Genomic DNA, 8,876 nt, shown 5'->3' with positions numbered 1-8,876 from the left:
GCATGTTTGGAAGAGCTAGGACCGAGACACGCAAGTGTGGTGGGAAGGTTCACTGCTCTTGGAAATTTAATTGCTGGATGGAGACAGACATAGAAATCTGGATTCCAACCAGACTTGAGCTCCATGCTAGCATATCAAACTGCCTGCTGGAATCCTTATGCAGATGTCCCAAAGGCAAATAAAACTCAATATGCCTAAAAGCAAATGAATTGTTTGATGCTGCACCAGGCTCACCACCACAAAAGGAGAAATCAGCTGCATTCTCTACTTGAGTTGATGACACCAGCATCCCCCTAAGCCTCTCAAACGAGACACTTGGGATTCTCCCTCAGTTTTCCCTCTTCCTTATTCCTCCTGCCAATGTGCGGTTCAGTTCTCCTCTTCCCACCATCACTGTCCCTTTGTGTCTATCTTCTACCTGTCTTCATACATCAACCCTTAACCGGTCTCTCTGATTGCAATCTCACTCTCCTCTACCCATCACTGGTTTCAGAGATTTTTCTAAAATCCAAATTTGACTTTGGCACTCCCTGCTTACCACCTTCAATCACCCACTAGCATTGATGGTTTTAAAGCTCAAACTCTTTAGCAATTTATGACAACCACATAATTTTCAGAGAAGAATGCATTGTGCCTGCCTCCGAAGCACATGCAGTCTTGTTAAATAAGCACTGTTGTGATGGTTCATTTTACATGTCAACTTGGCAAGGTCATGTGTGTTCATTTGCTATGGCTGCCACACAAAATACCACAGACTGTTGGTGGCTTAAACAACAGAAATTTATTTTCTCACAGTCCTGGAGGCTGGAAATCCAAGACCACAGTGCTGGCAGCGTTGGTGTCTCCAAAGGCCTCTCTCCTGGGCTTGCCACCTTCTTGCTTCCCCTTCCATCACATGGTCATCCTTTTGTGCACATGCATCCCAGTGCCCCTCTGTGTGTCCTAATCTTCTTTTCTTATAAGGACACAAGTCAGCTTGGATTTGGGTCCACCCTAAAAGCCTCATTTTAACTTAATTCTTCTGTTGTTTTGTTTTGAGACACAGTCTCGCTCTGTCACCAGGCTGGAGTACAGTGGAGCGATCTCAGCTCACTGCAACCTTCACTTCCCCAGTTCAAGCGATTCTCCTACCTCAGCCTCCAAGTAGCTGGGATTACAGGCACGTGCCACCATGCCCGGCTATTTATCTTTTAGTAGAGATATCTTTTTTGTATCTTTTAGTATCTTTTAGTAGAGATGGGGTTTCACCATGTTGGCCAGGATGGTCTCAATCTCTTGACCTCGTGATCTGCCTGCCTCAGCCTCCCAAAGTGCTGGGATTACAGGCGTGAGCCACCGCACCCAGGCCACTTAATTCCTGTTTTACAACCCTGTCTCCAAATGCAGTCATATTCTGAGTTATCAGGGGTTCAGGCTTCAACACGTGAATTTGGGGGAGACAAAACTTAGTCCATAACAGCCATGGCAACCAGATTTTGCTCAATCACTAATCTGGATGTTGCTGTGAAGATTTTTTTTTTACGTGATTAACATTTAAATCAGTAAACTTCGAGTAAAGCAGGTGACCCTTCATAATGTGGGTGGGCCTCATTCAATCAGTAAAAGGCTGTAAGAGAAAAGATTGAGGTCCCCTGAAGAAGTGGGAATTCTGCCCCGAAATTGCCTTCAGACTTGAGCTGCAACATCAGCTCTTCTCTGGGTCTGCAGATTTTGAACTTGCCAGTCCCACAATCACATGAGCCACTTTCTTAACTCTCTCTCTCTGTGTGTGTGTGTGTGTGTGTGTGTGTATACATAGCATATACATAACATATATACATACGTAAACATATGTATTTCCTATTGGTCCTGCTTCTTTGGATAGCCTTGACTAACAGAACCATCAGACCCAGGCTACTCCATCCTGCGGCTCCACAATCCATAACGTGTTACCTCTGGGTCAGAGCTGGCCGCTTGAGCACCAGACATGGCGGCTCCATTCCAGACAGCTGGAGAGAGGAAGGGACCTAAAAAGACATATTCCTTTATTTTAGGGACACTTCCTGGAAGTAGAACATGACCAGTCCATTGGCCTGAACTTACTCACATCTAGTTGCAAGGGAATTGGGAACATAGTTTTGATTCCAGAAGCCATGCGCCTAGCTAAAAATCAGGAGGTTTTATATCATGGTAGAAAGGGGGAACGGACATGGCGCTGCACCAGGAGACAGTATCTGCTACAAATACCAAACGAAGGGCGCTGGCAATGAGCATTTTAGAAGTTAAGGGCTGGGTCCGGCAGAGAGGGCTGCACAGTGCAAGGGGACCGGGGCTGACTTTGAAGGAAGGGCTACTCCGCTCAAGTACAAGAACACGTGAGCACCCTTGCCCCAGAGTGAGCATCAACACCGTGATCACGGTTATTACCTGGGAGGTCTCCTGCCCAGGATCCAGGCGGTGAGGCTGCCCTGGAGGCAGGCTCGCTCCGCCACAGGCGCGCGGGCAGCAGCGGCCAAGCCGAGGATGGCAGGGCCTGCGGGTGACCAGGCCTCCGGCCAAGGGCACGCGACCCCCAGCGCTTCCCAGGTGCTCCCCTGAAGCCCGGGACGCGTGGGCACCGGCGCGGGGCGGTGCCGGGGAAACGCAGCCATCGCCTCAGGGCACGCCAGCCAATGGGCGGCCTCACCGATGCGGTAATGCCCCAACGCGGCGTTTCATTGGCCAGCTCTCTTTCAGGCTCCAACTATTTATTAGATTTTTTTTTTTTTTTAAGAAATTGCAAATAGGCCTAAACAAAATCCAGAGGAGAGGGAAGGGATGCCTGAGCACAGATGGGTGGGAGAACACGCCCCGAGGTGCAGCGTTGGCACGAGAAGCCCTGTCTGCGAGCCCCGAGGAGGAGATGCCTCCCCAAGCCCTGTGCAGACAGAAGAGTCCGCCCCTCCCTCTCCCGCACCTGCTGAACTTTGGGGTCAGCAGAGGAATGTCCCCCGCTGTTAATGTTTTGTTTTCACTGTTTTACAATTCACATTTCGTGCTGCAGGGTCGCTCAGAGCCCTAACACACCAGAGCGTACTGTGAAGCTACAACAGGGACAGATAGGTTTGTAGGAAGCGGCATTTCCCAAAAGCCAACCTCTGAACCTTTCATTCCCAGAGCACATCACAGGTCCAGCGTTCCACAGAACACACCCTAGAAAATGCTCCTGTGGAGGACCCGTCCCGCCAGGATCCCCAGCTGGTCAGGAATGCTCCGGGGGCCTCCTCGCTCGGGCTGTTCTCCTTCCCACACGTTCACCTGGGGGAACAGGCTCTGGTTTGTTAGAAAACTGTGACATAGCAAGGTAGGAGCAGCAGCCCCTTGTCACCTTAGGCTCCAACTGAGGGTGGGAGGTGGGAGGTGGGGTTGGGCGGTTTGGGGATGGGAAACCTGGCTCTGCCTTCCTTCTTCCCGTTTGCACCACGGAGCTGGATCCCAGGTGGCCAGATCCCTTCCAACCCACAATGATTGAGGACCTTCTCAGCGCTGGCTCCTTAGGTGCTGGAGACAGATTCTGCCCTGAAGGTACTCCCTGGGAGGACTAAGAAACAGATAAATAAGCAGGTCATTGCAATACAGTGTGCTGGGTACAACAGTCGAGGTAATGTCAGATATGAGAATGAACTCGAAAGAAGGGAATGATCTTGTCTGGGGGAGGTGGGCAAGCAGGAGGAGCTGTGGCAGAAGGGGATCAGAGAGGATAAAGACAAAGGTCTGTGTTCGAGATTGTCAAATGAAAGCCACGCACCAGTCCAGGGGCTTCAGAAATGTTCTCATCTCAGGGAATCAGGTCTGGAATCTGGGAATGAGGCTCTTGTTCTCCTGGGACAAGAGCGAGCCTGGGAGTAAAATGAATCCCCAGTGCTTCTGGAGAAGCTTGGGAATTCTGGGCTGGTGCAGGCCCTCCCTGGTATTAATACTGCAGCTCCCAGATTCTGCTTGAAACCACAGAGAAAGCTTTGGTCAGAGGCCAGCAAGCCCCTCAGCCCCAAGCAGAGGTAGGCAAGACGCATGGTGGTGGCCCAGGAGCCTGGGGTGTCAGTGGTGCGACAGTGTCTTTGCAGTGGTGGCACAGGGCTGAAGTGGTAAGAGGCTGGGAAGAAGATGCAGCAGACAAGGTGAACGAGGATGAGGAAGGAGGAAAAGAGAGAGAAGGAGAGGACAGTTTGCTGCAGTCCCAGTGCCCTGGGGATCAGTAACTTTGCATCCTGGCCCTAGCCCCACTTATTACTGCCTGTGTGACCTTGGGCCAGCTCCCTTAGCTATCAAATGAGGTGCGGGGAGAAGCTGTGATCTCTACAGCCCCCTCCTCCTCAAGTGGCATGAGCATTCTCTTTTCTGGAAGGTCCCTTACCAACTGCAGCAGCTACCACTGTGAAGAGCAATGGGCAGGTGGGTGCAGATGGCAGTGCTACTGATGGGAGGGTGGGGGTGCTGGCACCCCAGGATAACTCAAAAGTGGTGCAGGCTGAAGCCCTCCCTCCCTCCTTCCTTCCACCTCCTGCCTGCTGAGCCCCCCAGGACCCAGCAGCTAATGTAATCTCCTCGAATGCCCCATAATGGCCCTGCAGCAGTTTCTGCAGGCTCCTCCTCTCTCTGCTGGCAGCAGGCTGCGAGTTCAGAGGAGAATGAGCTCCCTGCTCTCGGGAAGGTGAAGTTGGGCTCCTGAGTCAGCCTAGGACAGCGGCAGGACTGCAGCTCCCTCTGGACAAGGGGCATGTGCAGCAGACCCCACCAGGTACCTTTCCCCACAGAACCTACACAGAAGCACAAGGCCCTTTGCTCCTGATTTGATAAGGGTGTCCTCTCTCGTGGTTGTTTTCGAACTGTGTTGAGCTAAGAACCCTTTCTTTAAATGAAAGGTGTTATGGAAGCCTCAACAACACAGTATTCAATAATGATTTCTTGAAATAAGTGTGTGTCAAGTGCAGTGTTGAGAACTGGGTACACGGTGGTGGCCCAAACAGACTTGATCTCTGCCTTCACAGAGCTTGGTTTAGTAGGCAAATCCAGCCATAAATGAGTAAATATTTACTAACTCTTCATTGTGATCAGTGTCATGAAGGAAAAAAAATGTGGTGTGGCCTTTAGGTTGCATTGTTAGGAACGATTTCCAGGTCAGGAAGGGATGCTTCTGCATCCAGCAGTACCTGTCAGTGTGAAATCTGGGGCCAGGACCAGGTCAGAGCTTTGGATGGCAGATGACACCCAGGAGGAAGAGGCAGCCTCTACACGCAGGTGGGACAGTGAGCCCCTGCCTGGTGGTCTGTACTGGCCTTCCCCACAATGCAAGCCAAGGCATCACCTCCCACTCACATCCCAAGAGACCTGCAGGAAACCAGGCTGCATTTCAACAACAAGCAGGAAGCACAGAGCTTTACACACAATCTAAGTACATCAACTATTTGAAGATGCTAAACTCCATACAAGAACATCACCAAACTCCACAAAAGAAAAAGCTGATAACTGAGGAAACTGAGCTAATAGTCTAATCAGAACAGAAACTTAAAATCTGTATACTTAGTATTTTGGAGAGATGTGGGTGGGTATCTATATATCAAATGAGAGAAGATCATTAGAAATCAACAGCTGGTAATTATGAAAAGAAACAGTGAAATTCCCAGGAGTGAAAAATATCAATATTCAAAAATCTTTCTGGCTGTAGTGAGGAAAATGAAATTTGCAAGGAGGTAAGACAAATTTTAGCCAGGTAAGAGATGATCGTGGCTTTGGCTAGGGTGGAGGCAGAGGGAAGGGAGAAGAGTAGATGGATTCAAAATACAATTTGAACGAAAAGTCAGCAGGACTTGCTGACCTCTTCAGCATCTGAGTATGAGGATCTTCAGCATCTGAGTATGAGGATGAGGGAGAGGGAGCCCTCAGGGATGATGTCTGGAATGAACACAGAGCTGCCACAGTTAAAGATGCTCAGGGATTATAATGCAGGGCCCCTTGCAGAGACTGCGAAGGCCTCTTTACCCTTCTTCCTGCATCAAAACGAGGTAGCCCTGCCATCATACAATCCTCAAACTGCACCCTTAATCTTCCTCCTCTTCCTATCCTTACCAGACAACCAGAGGGCTTGAAAGCAAGAGCCAAGCTGCATCCAGCACTGAAGGACCACCCTATTTATTCCTCCCTGATGTCTTCAGGGAAAGTCTGGCTGGTGAGGGAGGGAAATGTGACTATTACAGGTTGGGTTCCCTTGAAAGCAGACCATAAGATGCAGTTTTTTGTGCAGAATGCCGATTAAGGGGTCAACACCTGTGTAAGGAGGAGGAAGAAGTATGCAGAAACAGAAATTAAGCCAAGGTCAAAGACAGCCTTGGTCCAGGGCTTGGGAGATCAAATGGCCCTTCAGAGTTGTTTTAAGGTGGTCTGAGATGGCCAGATCTTTATGGGTCCATATCAATCAGTTATTAGATTTGGGCCCCATGGGCAGGGGTGTGACATCAGTAAGGCTGCTCCCTGCAGCCCAGGCAACCTCTGTGTGCTAGCAGCACTCTGCACCACTGGGACTGCAAGTCCTTATTGAGGGGGATCTAGTTAGCACTTTACAGTGTTCACCATAGGGCCCGATGCCAAAGTAGCCTCTCAAGTGGCTTGAGGTACAGCCTTGTACATACCACGTTGTACCTTCTATGTACCTCCTCTGAGGTCATTCCTGAACATTATCTCCAACTTTGGGGGAAATCAGAAGTTCAGAAGCAAGGACAGACCTAATTAAAACTAAAGAGACCATATATTAAGGTAGAAGAGTAAGGAATGGCTTTATATTAATGTCAGCATAAAGCTGAAAACACCTCACCTGTGGCAGACTGCATCATCTAAGAAGAATGTCTGGAAATTCATATTCTGCAGTTCAGATTCTACCCATTCACAACATAAATATCCTGTTGAGAAAAGCAAGTCTCACTCAGACGATAAATATAACCCTCTCTGCTGCTTTCATTTCAGTTTTGAGATGACCTGGCTGGCAGTGGGCTGAGCCAGTCTCTCAGAACCCTTTGAAGCACTGGATGCAGGCTGATGGGCTGCCATAAACGTCTTTGAGTCCCCACACTGCTCAGGGACTGCATATCATACCAAAGTCTGCCTGTGTGATCTTTTAATTTGTGAATGTGAAAACTGAGGTGGGAGGCAAATACTGATGTTCTCAAAGACCCGTCTTAGCTATTCCATTCAAATGGGGCCCAGAATCTTCAAAATTCTGCTTCTTCAGCTTACTTCCTGTCTCAGGCTGTTTCCCCAGAAGCATCCCAGAGATGAGGATTTGTGAGAAAGTGATGTATTTGGCAGTGTCCCCTGCAGGGAAGTGAGGATGCAAGATAGTGAGGAGGAAGCCAAGCAAGGGTGCAATGTCAAGCAAGGTCCCATGCATGCAGGGTGCCTGGCTTCTCCCACAGAGGAGGATTGGAGACCGAGAGCCCTTCCCTCCATTGGTCAAGGGCCATCTCAGAGGGATGCATGTTTCTAGGTACCCCCCACTCTCTCTGTACACAGGCGAAGCAGACTCCAGAAGCATGACGGCAGCCCTCTCACAAAGAAGCATGGGTTCTGGATACCGGGAGTAAAAGCAAACTCGGAGCCAAGGGGCATGAAAATGGGAAAGGGACCCAAGGAAATAGAGTAGCGCATCCACCATGAGTAAGACCCACAATCACTGAGTCAGCACCTGCTGTGTCTAACACCGTGCTAAGTATTATGGAGAGAAGTTGCTAGACTTCCCTGCTGTCATCCTTGATGGACTATTTTCTCTTCCATAGACACCTCAAACTGGGATTTAAGGTACATAAGCTCCCAGAAATGGCTTCCTGGAATTATGGCTATGAACATCAATGAACTGTTAGGGCCCATAGTTACATCTGAAAAATGGCTGCCATTTCAATACACGGTATTGGTTACAATGAAAGCAACAGCCAAAATAATAATGTGGCAGAGACTAGCTTGATGCTCATCACATCTCTACCTGGGCACACAGCAAATTTTTTTATTCCAGTTCCCACCCTGGATCTCCGGTCCTAGTTCTCAACAATGAAATGCTTCCAAGCCAAGTTAAGCAGCCACAACTTTCCAACAAAAACTTAAAGATCCTGTGTTGAAGACAGTGGCACCTTAAAATGCAAGGGCAGTATCCTTGAGTCCTCAGGTCACCAGAAAGCCACCCGATCAGGACCACTGACACTAGACTCTGTGTTAGTGAGAACCAAACTTGGGTCAAGCCATCTTGATTTTAAAGTTGTTAGCAGTTAGCTTGCTCCAATAGGATGAACATGAATAAACGCAGTGGTAACAACCTGCTGGGTAGTATCATTATTCCCACTTTGTTGTGAGGAACTTGAGGCTCAAAATGGTCAGAAAGCTAGCAGATGGCAGAGCTGGTATTTAAAGTCTATTTTTTAATCCCTATCCTGCACTCCTTGGTCATGTAAACCTTGTGTGAATATGTTTGATGCTTTAATGGAGCAAAGAGGAGAATATTAAAATATTGGGTTCATTGGGTAGGATATGGAGTGAGGAGGAAGAACACAAAATGGAAAGGCTCCACATGTCAGAAGCCAAGCTTTGGGCACGCCACAATTTTGCTAAAGACTTCCCTGCCTGCTCACATCTGGTCTGTTCCCCAGTATCCTCACTGTATTAAAGTTGTTTCTTTGTCATATTTTGCTCATTTTTCTGGTGTGATTCCATCAACTACTTGCTACCAAGGAGAAGAAATGAGATGATCAAAGGGGTATCCCCCAAATCCCCAAGGCTGTGCCCCTCAAGTTCAAGAAGAGAAATCAGAGAACTCTTGTTTAACATGGATGTGTTAGTTGCCATCCCCTCTCCCATCCCTCCATTTCCTTGTTAATAGA

At 48.7% G+C, this 8,876-nt stretch overlaps 1 annotated feature.

Moving 5' to 3' along the window:
* Positions 2,396–2,645: a silencer, noted in NCBI's record as "silent region_16877". NCBI's record gives its function as "represses an Ori minimal core promoter by ATAC-STARR-seq in GM12878 lymphoblastoid cells {active_cell/tissue: GM12878}" and the evidence as "EXISTENCE:reporter gene assay evidence [ECO:0000049][PMID:35858748]".

The sequence above is a fragment of the Homo sapiens genome, chromosome 6 (assembly GCF_000001405.40).
Source record: "Homo sapiens chromosome 6, GRCh38.p14 Primary Assembly".
Classification (NCBI taxonomy): domain Eukaryota; kingdom Metazoa; phylum Chordata; class Mammalia; order Primates; family Hominidae; genus Homo; species Homo sapiens.
Note: the sequence above shows the minus strand (reverse complement) of the source record. Positions and strands in the feature narration are given on the sequence as shown.